Source organism: Homo sapiens, chromosome 17, assembly GCF_000001405.40.
Source record: "Homo sapiens chromosome 17, GRCh38.p14 Primary Assembly".
Lineage (NCBI taxonomy): Eukaryota > Metazoa > Chordata > Mammalia > Primates > Hominidae > Homo > Homo sapiens.
The window spans coordinates 28,903,642-28,923,038 of record NC_000017.11 but is presented as its reverse complement, the minus strand read 5'-3'; the positions used below and the strand labels follow the sequence as shown (position 1 = coordinate 28,923,038).

At 47.5% G+C, this 19,397-nt stretch overlaps 1 protein-coding gene across 3 annotated transcripts in view, besides 2 other annotated features; it reads left to right on the top strand.

Moving 5' to 3' along the window:
• Positions 1 to 17,789, top strand: part of PHF12 (PHD finger protein 12) — a 46,269-nt gene extending 28,480 nt beyond the window's left edge. The window contains exons 5-15 of one of the 3 annotated variants that reach the window (NM_001033561.2): positions 1,231 to 1,351; positions 3,764 to 3,896; positions 5,590 to 5,754; positions 9,002 to 9,160; positions 9,762 to 10,557; positions 11,802 to 11,927; positions 12,670 to 12,813; positions 14,158 to 14,256; positions 15,367 to 15,449; positions 16,045 to 16,183; positions 16,522 to 17,789. In NM_001033561.2, the coding sequence (NP_001028733.1) occupies positions 1,231 to 1,351; positions 3,764 to 3,896; positions 5,590 to 5,754; positions 9,002 to 9,160; positions 9,762 to 10,557; positions 11,802 to 11,927; positions 12,670 to 12,813; positions 14,158 to 14,256; positions 15,367 to 15,449; positions 16,045 to 16,183; positions 16,522 to 16,856 (2,300 nt within the window). In that variant the 3' untranslated portion in view covers positions 16,857 to 17,789. Of the gene's footprint in view, positions 1 to 1,230; positions 1,352 to 3,763; positions 3,897 to 5,589; positions 5,755 to 9,001; positions 9,161 to 9,761; positions 10,896 to 11,801; positions 11,928 to 12,669 lie in introns of those variants that run through there. The other 2 variants (NM_001290131.2, NM_020889.3) reach the window with 2 other exon arrangements.
• Positions 14,014 to 14,308: a silencer, noted in NCBI's record as "tiled region #2481; K562 Repressive non-DNase unmatched - State 14:Gen5'". NCBI's record gives its function as "represses a minimal TATA promoter and a strong SV40 promoter by Sharpr-MPRA in K562 cells {active_cell/tissue: K562}" and the evidence as "EXISTENCE:reporter gene assay evidence [ECO:0000049][PMID:27701403]".
• Positions 16,693 to 17,193: an enhancer, noted in NCBI's record as "H3K4me1 hESC enhancer chr17:27232864-27233364 (GRCh37/hg19 assembly coordinates)". NCBI's record gives its function as "activates a minimal SCP1, AML or CMV promoter by ChIP-STARR-seq in naive H9 embryonic stem cells {active_cell/tissue: H9 hESC(naive)}" and the evidence as "EXISTENCE:reporter gene assay evidence [ECO:0000049][PMID:30033119]".
• Positions 17,790 to 19,397: the final 1,608 nt, after the last annotated feature.

The following is a 19,397-nucleotide window of genomic DNA, read 5'->3' as shown; positions in this document are numbered from 1 at the left end:
GGCTGCACTGCACTGTGGTGCAGTGGTGTGACCACAGCTCAAGCAATCCTCCCACCTCAGCCTCCCAAGTAGCTGGGACCACAGTTGTACACCACCACACTCAGCTAATTTTTATATTTTTTATAAAGACAGGGTCTCACTATGTTGCCAGGGCTGGTCTCAAATTGTGCTCACACGATCCTCCCGCCTCAGAGGATCCCAAAGTGCTGGGATTATAGGCATGAGCCACTGCGCCTGGCCTTCTTGCTTTTTTTAATGGTTGCATAGTAGTTCTTTGTACAGATACGTCATAATTTATTTAACCAGTGCCATTTTCTATTAATGGACATTTTCTATTAATGGACATTTAGGTTCCAAATCTTTCATTACTACTGGTAGTGCTTCAGAGAATAACTTTGTAAATACATCATTATATACATGTATAGATGTGTGACTATGTCTATAGGACAATAAAATTGCTGGGTCAAAACTATATAGTTTTGATAGATATTGCCAAATTGTCCTCCATTCTTTTTTTTTAAGTCCTGGCTTCTTGATACTGTAAAGCTTCTAGGTCTTAGTTTTTATTCCCAAAGAAAGTGAAATTGGTAGGCTTAAGAAGGATGCATATAGAATCAAAGCTTCTCTGATTTTTATGAAAATGTGGGCCAGGTGTGGTGGCTCACACCTGTAATCCTAGTACTTTGAGAGATCAAGGCAGGAGGATTGCTTAAGGCCAGGAATTGGAGACCAGTCTTGGCAACATAATGAGACCCCATCTCTCAAAAAATAAAAATAAAAAAGTTAGCTGAGTTTGATGGCCCACACCTGTAGTCCTGGCTCATATGGAGGCTGAGGCAGGAAAGTTGCTTGAGCCCAGTAGTTCAAGACTGCAGGCCAACTCCACAGAATAGTCCTTGTTGACTATGTGGCTTGGACATTTACATTTCTTAGGTTGCCTGTATCTAACCTAGCATTTCTGACCATTTTATGTTTGCAAAACAGTTAGATGTGTTTCTGCCATAGAACAGGTGACTTCTGGTTCTGACTTACGTATTAGTCTCTTTTTTTTTCCTCCCTAATCTTTCTTTTTTCTAACTTAAAATCAACCCCAGGGGCCTCAGAGAGCAATTCATGCTTAGGCCATGACACATGCTTAAGATCTGTTTTTGTCACTTAATGTTGTTTCCATATTGCAGGCTAGGAACTCTGAAGCCAGGGATAGCTCAGCACCATCATTTTCTTTTCTAGGTTCTAGCAAGAGGAGAAGAAAGGAGGAAACCACAGGGAAAAATGTTAAGAAGACACAGCATGAATTAGATCACAATGGTCTCGTTCCCTTACCCGTCAAAGTCTGCTTCACGTGTAACAGGTATTTTCTTTCATACTAAGGGGCTCTTTCTCATTATTTAGCAGATGATACTTTTTCTCTCATCACCTCTTCCAGACCATGTATGTTAAATGTGAACAGCCCATATTCTGATAGTATGAGTACATGGAGACTAACTAATGGACTGACGAGAGCCTTGAATGTGTATGTGTTAACAAATTTTCTGAAGAATCACAGTACAGGAGTACTGTGAACTGTGTTGAGGCCGAGCACGGTGGCTTATGCCTGTAATCGCAGCAATCTGGGAGGCCGAGGCGGTCAGATTGTTTGAACCTGGGAGCTTGAGACCAACCTGGGCAACACAGTGAAACCTTGTCTCTACAAAAAAAAATTTTTTTAATGAACCAGGTATGGTGATACGCACCTGTAGTCCCAGCTACTCCAGAGGCTTAAGCAGATTAGCCCTGGAGGCTAAACTGTGATCACGCCACTGCACTCCAGCCTGGTCAACAGAGCGAGACCCTGTATTTTAAAACAAAAACAAGGGGCCGGGCGCTGTGGCACATGCCTGTAATCCCAACACTTTGGGAGGCCGAGGCAGGCTGATCACAAGGTCAGGATATTGAGACCATCCTGGCTAACATGGTGAAACCCTGTCTCAACTAAAAATTCAAACAAACAAAAAAAAATTAGCCGGGCATGGTGGCAGGCATCTGTAATCCCAGCTACTCTGAAGGCTGAGGCAGGAGAATGGCATGAACCTGGGAGGCGGAGCTTGCAGTGAGCCAAGATCGCGCCACTGCACTCCAGCCTGGGCGACAGAGCAAGACTCCGTCTCAAAAAAATAAATAAAAATAAATAAAAACAATGGCCCGGTGTGGTGGCTCACGCCTGTAATCCCAACACTTTGGGAGGCCGAGGCGGGCAGATCATGAGGTCAGGAGATCAAGACCATCCTGGTCAACATGGTGAAACTCCATCTCTACTAAAAATACAAAAATTAGCTGGGTGTGGTGGCACGCACCTGTAGTCCCAGCTACTCAGGAGGCTGAGGCAGGAGAATCACTTGAACCCAGGAGGCGGAGGTTGCAGTGAGCTGAGGTCACGCCACTGCACTCTAGCCTGGTGACAGACCAAGACTCCATCTCAAAAAAACTGTGTTTACACACTAGAACAAGAGGAGTTGGACTTAAACTAAACATTAACTTGAATCACTAAAGATAAGTTTAAAAGTAGTATAAGGATCTATGATAGTGTGTATTGGACTGGATGACTTCCAAAAGCCCCTAGGGCTGCCCCAGTTATAGTCTCTGGGACACTGGTTTCCTTCAAATAGGATCTCTTTGACAGAAACCAGCTGCTTCAGTTACTGAAGCTGGACTTGTTGGCTTGGGTGTGTTAGAAGGACTGTATTATGGTCAGAGCAGGGTAGCAAGAGAAAGTAACTATCAAAAAGAAATGTTTCACAGCAAAAGGTATAGGGAAAGGGAACTAGATAGTAGAGTGGCAGAACTCTGAGCCAGGACAAACTGTGGCTCCAGTGCATCTTGGGGACCCCAGGAGTATTGTAGTTACAAATCGTAGTTGTCATTTGCTTAGTCCTCTTTTGAACCCTGCTTACATGAATACATTACAAAATCATCTTTCCAGCACACCTCTAATTGTCAGTTCTGCTGAGTGCTTCATGCAGAAGAGAAATATTTTCTTGCTATAGTTAAGACTCCAGAAAGGTTGCTAGTGATTTTTTTAATGAAGTAGGCTCTCTCTTTTAAGAAGTAGGAAGATCAGAGCAGAGTTCACTGTTTTCCCCTAGTGAGTACTGAGCATTGATCATCCCTACTCTGCCACTTTAGCTGTACTCCAAATAAACATTCACTTTCCCGCAAGACATGTTCTTCTTAGAAGAGAGAATAATGAAGAACCTAATGGGAGCCCCCAAATCCATCCATGTTGTTTTTTTGTTTTGTTGTGTTCTGTTTTGTTTTGTTTGAGATAGAGTCTCTCTCTGTCACCCAGGCTGGAGTGCAGTGGCGCCATCTTGGCTCACTGCAACCTCCGGCCTCCTAGGTTCAAGCAATTCTCCTGCCTCAGCCTCCCGAGTAGCTGGGATTACAGGTGCCCACCACCACGCCCAGCTAATTTTTTGTATTTTTAGTAGAGACAGGGTTTCACCATGTTGGTCAGGCTAGTCTCAGTCTCAGTCTCCTGACCTCAGGCAATCCGCCCACCTCGGCCTCCCAAAGTGCAGGGATTATAGGCGTGAGCCATCGCACCAGCCCCATCCATCTTTCTAATCATAAATGTAACTGAATCACTGGAGGAAGATAGGGGAGAATGTTAGGATCAAGGAGGGGAGAATGTTAGGATCAAGGAGGGGAGGCTGTTCCACAGGTCAAAGTTAGTTTGAATTTTCCTTTTCTTGCCACAGAAATGGCCAACATCTCTTTTTTGCAGGAGTTGCCGTGTGGCTCCTCTCATCCAGTGTGACTATTGCCCTCTCCTGTTTCACATGGATTGCCTCGAGCCGCCGCTCACTGCCATGCCCCTGGGCAGATGGATGTGTCCGAATCACATCGAACATGTGGTGGTAAGCACAGCAGTGTCCATTCAGTCCTCAATGGGCATAGCTGGAGCGTGGACTGATTAGCAGAAAGCATATTAAGGTCAGCTTGGTGCCAAGTTCACCACATTGTCATAGGTACTGGTTTCTGCAGGCCACCCTACTCAATTCTGATCATTTTGACATATTTCAGCTATGCTTTTTCTCACAATGTTTTGTTTCAGCTGCCCATACAGACTTAACTCACTAGTGCTTGGTTGTTTGTAAGTGACTTATAGGGAATTAAGCAGTTGATGTTATAGCCCTAAAAGGGGAGTATATTAGATCCAACCTTAAGGAAATAAATCGTTGGCTGTCTGGGGTACATGTGTCCCAGGCACCAAATGAAGTTTAGTAAATAAGCTGTTGAATGAATAATAGTGTGAAGGTCCTATTGCTTTCTCTTCCAAGAGTCTTGGGTTTATTTTCCAGACTGAGGCTAGAAAAGAGCTGTCACTTGCTATCTCCAAAAGAAGTTTAGGACATCTCTTTATAGGCAGTTAGAACAGTCACTCACAAGATTGAATGGGAGAGGATTTGAGGAGGAGGAGCTCCCTCATAAGAGCAGCCTTCCAAATTAAAAAGGCTACTGCTTAAGACATTGTCTGTCAAATGATGATAACCATGGAATGACCGTTGGCCTTCATGGCAGTGTGCTGCTGACCTTGCACTGAGAGGAACCTCGGTTAAAGACTTGCACACATGGAAGAGAAGAGTTACTTTGTGTTCTTTTGACTCATGCCAGTCAAAGATTTTTCTAGGAGGAAAATCTAGTCTTGTTTTGCTTCCTTGTTTCTCTCCTAGTCTTGTTTTGCTTCCTGATGAACCAGAAAAAAAATGACCATAAGCAGTTTACCCAAATGTGAAACTTAAAGAGCAGCTTTCTAGCAGTTGAGAAATTCTTAGTGGGTTAAATTTTTGTTAGCCACTTAAAGGTTTTTCCTGATTTATGAATTAGGCAGCTGCCACAGCAGGTCCTTTCTTTTGAATTAAAATGTAGGAGCCCAGATGTAGAATAGGAAAAGTGGCATAATTTCTGTATGCCTTCGTATATTATTGCAGAAACTCTTCTTTCTTTTCTCCTTTTGGCTTCTAAGAGCAATCCAAGGTTTTCCCTTCCAGTAGAGGAAGACTGATATCAAGATGGGTTAACTTATGCTCCTTGGTACCACGGAGTAGGAGTAGAGCAGAGCACACGGATTTCTGGTTCTGACCCAGTTGTCAGCCAAGCTCCTATGTAGGACACAGTCCTGCTTTTCCTATTAGAGAGAGGCCCTTCCTGGGAAGGGAGTGTGGGTCTCTTAAGGGTCGAAGCATACGTCTTCTCTGAAACCTGTGCTGCTATTAGAGGGCCCTGACAGAGGCTTCTCTGAGCTGGAACAGAAGACTGTCAGAGGCCGAATTTGGAAGGGCACGTCTTGGCTAATTTCTCCTGCCTTCCTTAAGGCTCTCTAGGGAACAGGAACATATTGGCTCTCTTCCACTGGACTGGGCAGGGCTGAGTAGGAAGTCTCATCCATGTTCCCTTGCTCTCTGACAAAGAGTGCCGACATCCTGGTCCCTAATTGAGGGAACCTATGTGGCTGAGGGCTTCTAGTTTTTAAACACAGGGAATGGGGTTAACTGGGATAGGAGGTGCCTTTTGAGGCTCACCACAAGGTTGTGTCTGCTTTGTCCCTAGCTGAACCAGAAGAATATGACACTGAGCAATCGGTGCCAGGTGTTTGATCGTTTCCAGGACACCGTTTCGCAGCATGTCGTCAAAGTGGACTTCCTGAACCGAATCCACAAGAAGCACCCCCCTAACCGGCGTGTGCTCCAGTCGGTCAAAAGAAGAAGCTTGAAGGTGAGTCACAATCAGGTGCAGGCAAGATGGTAGTCTGCCTGCCATCATGGGTTAGACAGAGGATCACTGTCCCAATTTTACAGGCAGGGAAACTGAAGCCCCAGAAATAGGTTTGTGGTGTCTCGTGAGTAATGAGTGTGACCTTCATTTTAATACTTGGGGATGATGGTCAGGATTATGAGGGCCGAACCTCAAGTTAGCCTTCGAAGTCTACCAGTCTCTAGTTTTCCAAAGGATAAGCACTCTTCAGCCCATCCCACCAAACCCAAATGTGCTCTGTTGTTACTGCCACCCTCACCTAACGCTCATTCTATCTGTTCCTGTTAGATGGCCTCTGTCCAAGAGGCAAAGTAAAGGTGGGGATGATTAAGCAGAAAGAGCCATGTGGAAGGTGAAGAGCTAATCCCAGCTCAGGAACTTAAGTGGAAAATATCTAAAGGAAACTTGAATCTATTTTTCCAGGCTGCTGTTAATATATCACCAATGCTCCAAATTGTGGCATAGCTGTAATAATGCCTAATATTTATATGCTCTTGACATTGGCCAAAGTGTGTTTACAGAGATTGACAGAAAAATTTCCCTCCTTGAAAAGCATTTGGTGGTAGTGAGGATGTTTTTAAACCATTCAATCCCCTCATTCAGTTAACCTAGAGGGTCCAACACTATATACCCATATATAAACTTGTTTTTCTCTTTTGAAATGATCCCACAGTCTTATGTGCTAACAGAAACCAGCACTTCTCAAGTATGGCCACTTGGTGGCAGCCACATTTTAAAATCAATCACACTGGCCAGGCGCGGTGGCTCACGCCTGTAATCCTAGCACTTTGGGAGACCAAGGCAGGTGGATTACCTGAGGTCAGGAGTTTGAGACCAGCCTGACCAACGTGGTGAAACCCCGTCTCTGCTAAAAATATAAAACATTAGCCTGGCATTGTGGCAGGCACCTGTAATACCAGCTACTCGGGAGGCTGAGGCAGGAGAATCATTAGAACCTGGGAGGTGGAGGTTGCAGTGAGCCGAGATCGCGCCATTGCACTCCGGCCTGGACAACAAGAGTGAAACTCTGTCTCAAAAAAAAAGGTCAGTCACACCACTGCCATCACCTTCAGTGGGTATCAGCACTAGCAAGATGCTAACTGTTGAAAATTGTATAACAAACTTAACTGGGCAAATATTTATACATCAGTGGAGACACAGGTTTTCCAAAACTAGATTCAAATATTTCGGAAATGGATGATATTAAAGGTAGTATGCCTCATCTCAGTGAAACAGATCTAAAAGTAATCCAGACTGTGTAATTCACTGTGTAGATTTGTCAGAGAGCATAGCTGCTGAAGTGAACGGGCCAGGAGACCTTGATAAAAATCCCCTTGTTGTATGGTGCCCCTCCCACCTTTTAAGTGTTTCTCTAGTGAGGAAACTCAAAGGGCATGAGTTACCTGCAAAGCATTTTGTACTTGGACAGTTTGAGAGTGAAATGAGGACCGTAGCACCATAGAACATTGGTGAAGAACCCCAGCTCTCTCCTGGAACATTAGCCTTTACACTTGATTCTAGCAATTCAGGAAAAATCTGCTGAGAACTTTGTATCTTCGTTGCGAATTTCTCTTCCACTTAGCCCTTCACTCTTCCCCAGGGGTATCCTGTTCTTACCCCAGGGGTAGTGGAATAAACTAGTCCACTGTTTATTCCTCCTCCTCTCATTCCTGGGTGATCTCAGAAAGCCCATGGCACCAGCTAAGGCCATCACCAGCCCATGGTGATGACTCTCAACTCCATATTCCATGCCTTTCTCCTTATATCCAGACTCATATCTGCCTGCCCATCCCACAGATATCTCAGGATGAACCTCCTCCATAAGACCAGAAGTCTTCTGCCTCTCCACATCTGCTCTTCCTCCTGTATCTCCTATTGCAGTAAATAACAATGATCACTACTCAGTCCCTCAAACTAAAATTCTGGGAACCATTTTCAGTTCTCCCTTGTCTACCATAAGGATTTTGTCACCAAATCTGTTGGTTCTCTGGATGTTTTCCAAATCCACAAAGTGCTATCACATCTCTATGCCTTACATGCTTCTCCCCCTCCCTTATTTTTCCTTTATCTGCCTGGAAGATCCTTCTCAACTTCCAAGTGTCAACCCAAATACTGACTTCCTATAAAATCATCCCCAATCCCAAATTCCTGTCCCCCAAACTAAAATAAGCACTATGTTTTTAATAGCACCTTAGACATGCTTCTCTTCTAGAACCCATTACCTTGTGTTGTAATATTTCTGTGTTTATCTCCCCACTAGACTGTGAGCTCCTTGAGGGCAAGTCTTAACTTTTATTCATCTCTGGATCTCTAGAACTTGGAACAGTGCCCAGACACAGGAGGTGCTCAATAAATGTTGGTTGAATGTATGAATGACTCTTTGCTTGTGTGGCTCTTTCATTCTTACATGGTGTGATTCAGAGTGTGGCTTCTGTTTTTGTTGCACAAAGACGTCTTTAGTTGTTTCATGAGTCATGAATGAATGGATGAAGGAAACTGACATTGATGGAGTGCTTATCATGAGCCAGGCCTCATGTCAAGCATTTTTTTTTTTTTTTTTTTTTTTTTTTTTTTGAGACGGAGTCTCGCTCTTTCACCCAGGCCGGACTGCAGTGGCCCTATCTCGGTTCACTGCAAGCTCCGCCTCCCGGGTTCATGCCATTCTCCTGCCTCAGCCTCCCAAGTAGCTGGGACTATAGGCGCCCACCACCACGCCCGGCTAATTTTTCATATTTGTAGTAGAGATGGGGTTTCACCATGTTAGCCAGGATGGTCTCGATCTCCTGACCTCATGATCCTCCCGCCTCGGCCTCCCAAAGTGCTGGGATTACAGGCGTGAGCCACCGCGCCTGGCCTAAGCATTTTTATCTCTCAGTGACTGCTCACCCACTCCCAAACTTGACACTGAGCAATAAGAACCCAGAGTACCACTCTGAAGCCCTGTCCAGTGCCAGTCTTACACCTTTCAGGCTAAAGCAGAAGACAGAACGCAGTGGTTTCTGTGTTCTGCAGGCCTTAGACCTTGATGAAGGAAAGTGGAGGCCCCACCTGCTATTTCCATTTCTGAGCCTCCTTTTCCTCAGCAGACCCCAGAGTGGATGGTCCCTTGAGCACCAGCACCACAGACAGAACAGCATACCAGGGCAGAATCAACTAGACATGTTGGAACTATCTCCCTCTCCTTCCTCCTTCTATCTATCCTGAACAGGTTCCTGATGCTATAAAATCTCAGTACCAGTTTCCACCCCCTCTCATTGCACCCGCGGCCATTCGGGACGGGGAGCTGATCTGCAATGGGATCCCTGAGGAATCACAGATGCACCTTTTGAACTCTGAGCACTTAGCCACCCAAGCAGAGCAGCAAGAGGTGAGTGAAGGTGGGGCGGGGATTCCAAATCCAACCTTCCTTCTGTGTCACCACAGCTGTTATCAGAAGTAGCCTCAGTGTCATTCTCATTCCAGTCCCCACCCACCCTCATCCTAACCCCTCAAGAGTTGAGTATTCCAGGGGGAACTTCTGGCTCAAATCCCAAAGGCAAGTAAGAGATCTACAAAGGCAACTGGTCTGCTTCTCTCCATCGTTACCCCAGTGCACTGTGAGATGGGCAAATCTATACTGTAGAAAGAGATGAGTAGACCCATAGAGAGGTTAGGTGATAGTGCTGGACATACCACAGGTGCTCGGGGTAATTGCTGAATATTGGTCACAAGTAAGCCTTAAAGGCAGAGTCAAAATGCAGATCCCAAGCTCTGTTGGCCAGAGGGAGTGTTGGCCTGCTGAGGGTACCTATAAGTCTTGCTTGGGAATGGAAATGGAATTCTATCAGGAGTCAAGCACACCCTTTGTGAGCATTCATGATGGGACCTCGGAAACTGCTTGTCAGCTCTGCTGCAGCCCTGGCCACTGTGGCAGGAAGGACCGGCGCCTCTCAGGCTTCTCACCCCCCTCTCCTCTCCTTCCATTGCAGTGGCTCTGTAGTGTTGTTGCGCTCCAGTGCAGCATATTGAAACATTTATCTGCTAAGCAGATGCCTTCGCATTGGGACTCTGAACAGACAGAGAAGGCTGATATTAAGCCTGTTATTGTGACTGACAGCTCAGTCACCACCTCCCTGCAAACAGCTGACAAGACACCTACACCTTCCCACTACCCCTTGTCCTGCCCCTCAGGGATTAGCACCCAGAATTCCCTGAGCTGCTCTCCACCCCACCAGTCCCCAGCCCTAGAGGACATCGGCTGCAGTTCTTGTGCGGAAAAATCCAAGAAAACCCCTTGTGGGACTGCCAATGGGCCAGTGAACACAGAGGTGAAAGCTAATGGCCCACACCTCTACAGCAGCCCTACTGATTCCACGGACCCCCGGCGACTTCCAGGCGCTAACACCCCACTACCAGGCCTCTCACACCGGCAAGGCTGGCCCCGGCCCCTCACGCCACCAGCGGCTGGGGGCCTTCAGAACCACACCGTCGGCATCATTGTGAAGACAGAGAATGCCACTGGCCCCAGCTCTTGCCCCCAGAGGAGTTTGGTTCCTGTCCCAAGCCTGCCCCCTTCCATTCCCAGCTCTTGTGCCAGCATCGAGAACACCAGCACTTTGCAAAGAAAGACTGTCCAATCACAGATAGGACCTCCGTTGACAGATTCAAGGCCACTGGGCTCACCCCCAAACGCCACCCGGGTGCTCACTCCCCCGCAAGCAGCAGGAGATGGTATCTTGGCCACAACAGCCAACCAACGATTCAGCTCACCAGCGCCATCGTCAGGTGAGTGCTGCTCAGCCTTGGGTTGATTTGGAATAATTTTATGCTCTTTCTGGCAAATAAGATTCTAAAAGCACTTATATCCCTGTGAATACTTCAGAGGACTTTGGCCTTTGTATTGTTTGTCTTACTCTCATTTCCGTAATAGAAGAGGAAGCACATGTTAACTTGTCCCGTTTATAAATGGGACTGCTTAGGCTCTGAAAGCTTCAGTGATTTCCTTAAAATGACCTACTGAGTCAGTGGCAGGATTGGAACCACAGCCCAGGTCTCCTGACTCCATCCCATACCTTCCAGGCCTAGGCCTCTGCCTGTTTTGTTCTGTCACCTTAAAAGAAGGCAGGGTGCTCTCTGGAATTACTATGATCAGCCTGAGGTTCTGCGTGATGGCCTCAGTATTGTCAGATCCACACAAAAGAATGGATTCATGCCTGATGCATATTCTCAGAAAGAGTTAATCTGATGAACTTCCATGTCAGGAAGCAGGGCTAGACAGCAGCACTGTCTTTCAGAGGAGCTGTAGAGTGGGATGCCCACAGGGATTGTTCTAGCCCAGAAGCGTGCCCTCAGGCCACATGCCAAAGGGCGGTCCTTCAGGTCTGTACTTGGCCTACTGTGGACCTGCTCTCTCAGCTGTCCCCAGAGAGCACTCAGGACCTTGAAGTTGCTGACCCCAGCATCTGAACCAGGTTTCAGATGCTGCCGGAACCCTCTGTGGTCTCTCCCGTCTGAACTGAAGCCGGCCTCCTAGTCAGCTGGGAGTCTCGGTAACCAGATGATTGTGATTTCTCTGCATGGGAGCCCCTGGTCCCAGGATGGCCCCGCTCCCAGGCTGTTTTCCTATCTCTGTTTATCGCTTAAAACCAGCGTGGGTAGATTCTCCACGCCGTGAGTCATATTTCAGTAGGCAAGAATTATAAGGGCAGGCACTACTTATTTTAAAGTAGAGGCAGCAGGGAGGTGGTCATGGCCCAAAGAATGAAGCTGCCCCACCACTTTCCCCAGAGCAGTGGATTTCAGTGGTTCTCAGTGCTCTGGAGACTCCTGCGTGCCTGGGTGCTTTGTCGTTCCATCTGCCCTTCCTCACCACACGTTTTTAGCTCTAGGAGTTCCAGAGCCTATGGGTTGAGAATCAAGAAGGGAACATCACCTTGGGTCCGAAATCCAGACCTGTCTCAGCAGTGGGGGATTGGACGGTGGGTTTCCCTCAGGCGACGTAAGTAACAGTCTTCCTGCTCCGTCCCCAGATGGCAAGGTCAGCCCCGGCACGTTATCCATAGGAAGCGCTTTAACCGTACCCTCTTTCCCAGCCAACTCTACTGCCATGGTGGACCTCACCAACTCACTTCGAGCATTTATGGATGTCAATGGAGGTGAGTGAATGAGCTGCTGCTGTTCCACCGTTTGCTATGTTGAAGGTGCTATTCCTATACAGCATTCAGCTCATTTCAGAAAGGGAGGGAAGGGACACCTGATCCCAGAGGCCTAGGGGGAGATGGGAATGAGGAGTATCCTTTTGGATGGGGGGGCGGGGTGAAAAAGAAAGCTCCTTCTGTAGCTCTGCCTTCTACATGTGCATATACACATAATCAAAGATGAAGGGAGGACAGAGCCAAGCTGAACCAGTGAGACGAGAACAAAATCACTTTAGGCAGATCACCTGGATTTGCAGAATAAAACTAAGATCCTCACTCCCAAAGGAGGGACCTCATCTGTGGGAAACCCCCAAAGTCCAGGAGAACAGGGACAGATCTTGATCTCTGTGAACACAAGGTGGGTAGAAAGTTCAAGTCTCAATATCAGACATCCAGGCCCTCCCCCACAGACAGGCAAGTGGTTTATTCCACTCTGCCTTTCTAGGGGCACTTTAATTAAAATCAGTCCACCCAACTACAGGAGGCAGCTGCACAGGCTGCATTGGGGCCCATCTCACTGCAAATGGCAAGTGAGATGCCCAGCTGCAGATCCTTGTACGCTCTGCACTCAATGCTGTTTGAGTAAAAATCACTTGGCTGGATTTTAGAAATGCCAAACTATTTGCTCTGTGACCCTGATTTGCTTCCACATTCCACTTCCCATCTCAGCTGCTTTTTAATCTTTCTCTTTGGCTAATAGAAATCGAGATAAATATGCTGGACGAGAAGCTGATCAAGTTTCTGGCCTTGCAGAGAATACATCAGCTTTTCCCCTCCCGGGTCCAACCTTCACCGGGCAGTGTCGGGACACATCAGCTGGCTTCTGGAGGGCACCACATAGAAGGTGCGCATGTACACACCTGTCACCACATCATCAGATCTCCCCTCTACGTGTGCGAATGGTCACCTTGCCTCCATGGAGAATCTGAGCTTCCAGTATCTCAAACCTCCTTGTGTGCTTTTCATGGGCTTAATAAAGCACCATGGTTTTTTTCTGAAGAGAGCAGGAACAAGATGGCAACCACAGCTTTCTGATCAGACTTGGGGAAGTCTGCTGTAACTTTCTTTCATATATAAGTCCACTTCGAGACACAGCAAAGCAGCTACCAGTACCTTTGGGTATATGTAGTGTACTTTCTGCTTACTTGCTTTCAAATATTTGAATTAGAAGGGCTTCCCGACTGAGTGCAGTGGCTCACACCTGTAATCCCAGCACTTTGGGAGGCTGAGGCGGGAGGATCACTTGAGCCCAGGAGTTGGAGACCAGCCTGGGCAACACAGTGAGACCCTATCTCTACAAATAATTTTAAACTTACCCAGGCATGGTGGCATACACCTGTAATCCCAGCTGCTTGGAAGGCTAAGATGGGAGGATCGCTTGAGTCTGGGAGGTCAAGGCTGCAGTGAGCTATGATTGTGCCACTGCACTCCAGCCTGGGTGACAGAGTGAGACCCTGTCTCCAAATAAATAAGTAAATAAATAAATAAAATTTTAAAAAGAATGGCTTCCCAAGAGGGAACTTTTCAAGTTCAAGTTGAGAAATAGAATAACACTAGGCCAACCTTCTGGAAATTTTCCCCAAGTGGTTAACTCTGTTTCAGATATGTCTGAGCATTGGCCATTAAGAGCCTTGCTGCTTCAAAGTGTGGTTCGCAGACCAGCAGCATCAGCAGCCCCTGAGAGCTTGTTAGAAATGCAGAGCTCAATGCATTGGTTTTTTGCCTATTTTTAAAGAAAACAGCAAAAGAAATGCAGAGCTAAGGCCCCTCCTCAGACCTATTGAATCAGAATCTGCATTTCAACAAGATCTGTAGGCGATTCTTATGCACATTAAAGTTTGAGAAACACTGGTCCATGCCGTCTGTTTTTCCATATTCTCCCTATAGTACCAGCTGGAATATCCCGGATTAGCCAGCCAGGAGCCCAGGAACTTACACAGTACTGTCATCTCTGACTTCTCTGACCATCTTCAAAGATGGTCCTCTGTACCCTGTGTTGGAAATGCTGTGGGTGGGGAGAGAAAGCCTTACCCTGCCGCAGCTCAGTGTTGGATGTGAGTTTGGAAAGATGAGTCATCCAGCGGGATTTTCTCCAGGCCATGAGCCAAAGGTCCAGATTTTGTTGGTTTATGTTTGGATCACAGGATCTGAGTTTCTGAATGATCCTATTCCTATGTTTGTCTTGTAGTGCAAAGAAAGGAGGTACAGGCCCGAGCTGTGTTCTACCCCCTCTTAGGGTTGGGAGGAGCTGTGAACATGTGCTATCGAACCCTCTACATCGGGACAGGTGAGCCAGCCAGGAAGCTGGGAGAGACACTGAATCTGTTCAGCCCTAAAGACTGACACCCTTACCCACAGAAGTTAGAAAGGGGTGAGGGAAGCCCTTTCCAGAGTTGACTGCTTTAAATCAGTGGATAGCTAGACAAGAGAAACTAAGAATAGAGACAATCAGCCAGTCACGGTGGCTCACGCCTATAATCCCAACACTTTGGGAGGACAAGGCAGGAGGAACACTTGAGCCCAGGACTTCGAGACCAGCCTGGGCAACATGGTGAAACCCTATCTCTACCAAAAACAAATATAAAAAATTAGCTGGGCTAACATGCCTATAGTCCCAGCTACTTGGGAGGCTGAGGTGGGAAGATCACCTGAGGCTGGGAGGTCCAGGCAGTGATCCTTTTTGTGCCTCTGCACTCCAGCCCAGGCAACAGAGTGAGACCCTGTCTCAAAAATAAAAGAGACAATCAGTTCCTTGTCTTCCCTTGTTCAGGCCCTTTTGCTTTGTCTTTGCCCAGTGTTGCAACAGCAGAGATGAAAGTCAGCTCTGACTACTGCCCAGGGAGGCACTTTAAACACTGCAGGGAAGAACCTAAGGAGAAGGCAGATGCTTTGTCCCTGGTGGTCTTTGAAAGAGTGATAGACTCACACATACCCAATCTTCAGTTAGCCCTGTATCTGTTTTTTGTTTTGTTTTGTTTTCCCTAAAAGTCCTAGAGACCGATAGCTCTGTATCTGGTACAGAAGGACAGACAGATTAGCCCTTACCCTAGAAACTTCCCTTTCTTTAAGGTGATAAGATTTTCTAGGCTCTGCACCCCGATGTTGTATTTTCATAGAAATATCCCATCCTCTTCAGTAGCTCACTCTTCCCTTCTGGGTAGCAGCCACATGTTCTAAAGCAGATCAGCTGGCAGGGACAGCTGTTCTTTATCAGGAGCTTGGAAAAGACAACAGTTTTTGTTCAAAAATAAAAGGGGAGGGCCCTGAGCTACTCACCCTTGAAGTCTCTGCTAGTGCCAACCCAGAAGCTAACTCTCTCCCTGTCTTACCTCCCCGACACATGCACCTTACAATCTGTTCTCTGCCTTCCTTTTCCTCTACTCCTGCCACCTTGCAGGAGCTGACATGGATGTGTGCCTTACAAACTATGGTCACTGTAACTACGTGTCCGGGAAACATGCCTGCATATTCTACGATGAGGTGAGGGCCGGAGATGCGGTGGGAGGGAGCTTTCCCAACCTGAGGCCTCTCCCAGGCAGTAGGTTTTTGTTCAGTGCCCTGAGGGGAGGGAAGAGGGATTGGGGGTCCTCTCTTTTTCTTCCCTCCCTGTCATTCCTGGAGGAGGAGAGTCTTGATGTGAAATAGCATCCTACCTGGGAAGCTACCTGCTTCCCAGGAGCAGGGCTACCATTTTTCCTGAGGTTAGTCACAGGCACAACAGAGGGAGCCTACCCTAAAGCAAGGGAGGGGACCAGCATAGAAGGAAGCCAAGCCTTGTGGGTGTGTCCCTGTGAATTTCATTATCATCACGGGCCAGTGAGTATCATACCAAGAGGAGCGGTGCTGAGAGGGCAGAGTGAAGGAGTGGGAGAGTAGGGAGTGTGGGACACCAGAAGGAAAGCTTCCCTGAGGAGGTGTCTCCAGCCCCCTTCTGAAAGGACAGGGGCCATGACTGGGGAGGCAAGTAAGGACTCTCTAGGTAGAGTAGCACGGCCTTCTCCATATGTCCTCTCTCCCCTTAGCCCCAGGCCCCACACAGCAGACCACACATCTTATCTCCCCTCCTCCTCCTCAGAATACCAAACATTATGAGCTGTTAAACTACAGTGAGCATGGGACAACGGTGGACAATGTGCTGTATTCATGTGACTTCTCGGAGAAGACCCCGCCAACCCCCCCAAGCAGTATTGTTGCCAAAGTGCAGAGTGTCATCAGTAAGTTGGAGCAGAGATCTGTGGCCACAAAGCTGAGGCCCCAGTCAGGGTGGTTCTGACTTGCTGCCCATGGTCTGTCTCTTGCCTTCCCAGTCCTATTGGCCAAGCTCTACTTCCTCGTGGGCCCAGGGCAGGCCACAGAGAAGCAAGTGCTGAGTACCCCCATGTGTGTACACACCTGTGGGGACTTCAGACTCCACCAACCCTTTCTGAGCATCCTTCCTCCCTAGTCATGCAGCAGTTGGAATGGGGAGATGCAGGAGCCCAACCTTGGCAAACAGCCCACATGGGTTGGCTGCTCACTGTTCCTCTTCTGTGACCATCCCCCTTTTTCCCAGGGCGCCGCCGGCACCAGAAACAGGACGAAGAGCCAAGTGAGGAGGCAGCCATGATGAGTTCCCAGGCCCAGGGGCCGCAGCGGAGACCCTGCAATTGCAAAGCCAGCAGCTCGAGCTTGATTGGGGGCAGTGGGGCCGGCTGGGAGGGCACAGCCTTACTGCACCATGGCAGCTACATCAAGCTGGGCTGCCTGCAGTTTGTCTTCAGCATCACTGAGTTTGCGACCAAACAGCCCAAAGGCGATGCCAGCCTGCTGCAGGATGGGGTCTTGGCCGAGAAGCTCTCTCTCAAGCCCCACCAGGGCCCTGTGCTGCGCTCCAACTCTGTTCCTTAGGACTGGCGGCTACCCCGCCACTGGCCTGTACACCCACCCAAGACTCCTGCAATGCAAAAATGTACACAAACCAAGCCCGGGTGTTTTCTATACTCTACCAGAAACCCTTCAACTACAATCTTTGCATGAAATGAAGAAAACCTTTTGACTGTTTTTTAAAAATCCTTTTTCTTTTCTCAAGTTCTAGGGGGCATTTGCACATATATTTGTACTCAACATTTCATGGGAAAGCGGCAGACCTGAGCTGAGGAACAGCGTGGGCAGGGAGGGAAAGACCCAGGGTCTGGACACTTCCTCCAACACAAAACCCTTCCCCACCCACCTCCTGCTCCCTCCCCCTCGCCCACCATTGTAAAATAATCAGAAACTTGTTCTATTTTGTGGCAGTGACAATAGTTTTATATTAAAAGAAAAAATACAGTTTTCATACAGCAAAATCTATACAATATCATTGTTTTATTTAATATAAAGATCGCTACCCACCTTCCTTCCATGGTTCCCACCCTCCACGTTATTTTCCCTTTCTGCAGCGGTTGCACTACAGGTAGCTACTGTGTATTATGGACAAATGAGAAATGAATTCTTTTTCTGGCTGTCCATCTATTTTATTTCAAATAAGGAAAAGTGTATTTGGATTTTGTGTAAATACATCTAGTGATGACATTTTTTCAATGTTTTTAAAAACCGTGTACAGTACTACATGTGGTAGAGCGTTTTCTCAAATTGTCTATTGTAGCAAAAATGTTTTTGTCGTAAACCTGTTTTGTCTCCTTTTTTTGTTCTCTTGCCACTTCTCTCCTCTTCCTCCTGCCCCTGGTTCCCTCCTCTCCTCCCACCCCCACAACCAGTACCAATGTACATAGTAATTGTAATGTTTTAGACTTTACAGAAACTTTCCTGTATTCTGTATATAAAAAACAAAAATACTTCAAATTGTTTTCTGACTGTCTGTCCTACCTGTCATCACCCTTAGAGGAGACCCTCCCCTAGATCTGGGTCTAGCAGGTGGGGGGCCTTTTGAACAGGTCTCATTCCCATAGGGAAGTTTGGTAGGGGAGGTGTTGGAGAAAAGTGAGCCAGGGTGGGTGGATGACAATGGAATGACATGGGTGCGTCTGCTGGCCCGGGGGGAGCTGTTTCTCCAGAGAACCCTGACTGATAGTGGAATCTAGTCTTGACCTGTCACTTCTAGTCATGTGATCTGCAGTCACACTTCTCTACAACTGCTATTCCTCATCAAAAAACGAGTCTGCTGCATTACCTTAATTCTCAAGTCCCGGGGACCTTCATTAAACCAAATTCCATGCTTTCCTCCCAGATCTTAGTGAAAAACTCTCCAGGAAGTTTTCCTGAGGTCAGCCTCCTCAGATGGAGAGCACCTCTGTGTATATTCCAGCACTGTTTGTGTAGGTGCATCTGCTTGTGTGTCAGGATTTTGCCTTAGGGATAGAAAATGAATATTCTACCCCCAGCCTCATCCCACAGCATCTACAATGGAAACCCGAATCCGCAGTGCAGCTAAATAGGAAACTGGCCCTGGAATCTGAGGTCTGTCCCTGACTTTCATCTGCCCATGCAGGCGTCATCACTCTGCTCCCGGTGCCCTAATGGGCTTTTTGAACTCCCTAAGGACAGAAACTTGTATATCTTCCACTCGGAATTTCCAAGTCTAACTACACTGCTGGGCACACCATAAGTGCCAAATACCAGGTTCTAAATTGTACTGAATGTATCAGGCAACGGCCTTCTGCCCTGGAATGGTCTTACCCATTTGTTCCTAGCCAGCCCCACCCTTCCTGCCATCATGGTCACTTGTAATTGAGTGATGGAGCTTCTCTGCCTGTCTCTTATCACCTATGAGAACCATTCCAAAGGCAAATTTCCTCCTGAAAGGCAATAACAGATTTTACTCTCTATCTCTTCCTGCTTCCCTTCAGCCATGGAAGGCACTAGTGGGGTTGAGGTAGGGAGATACAGAGGGGGAATGAAGGAGTGAATTCTGACACCCCTTAACTGCCTGTGCCACCTTTAACAGTGTCCTCTCTAGCCTGTGTGGGGAGAACACGGAAGAATCCTAGAAGCTGGGGGCTGGATGTGAAGATAAGAAAACGAAGGATTTGGCCCAGTGCAGAGGCTCACACCTGTAATCCCAGCACTTTGAGAGGCTGAGGCAGGTGGGTCACTTAAGGTCAGAAGTTTGAGACCAACCTGGCCAACATAGTGAAAACCCTTCTCTACTAAAATACAAAAATTAGCCGGGTGTGGTGTCACACACCTGTGATCCCAGCTACTCTGGATTCTGAGGCAGGAGAATTGCTTGAACCCGGGAAGCGGAGGTTGCAGTGAGCCGGGATCACGCCACTGCACTCCAGCCTGGGCAACGAGAGTGAAACTCCGTCTCAAAAGAAAGAAAGAAAGGAAAGAAGGAAGGAAGGGAGGGAGGGAAGGAAGGAAGGAAGGAAGGGAGGAAGGAAGGAAGGGAAGGAAGGAAGGAAGGAAGGAAGGAAGGAAAGGAAAGGAAGGAAAGGAGAAGGATTTGTG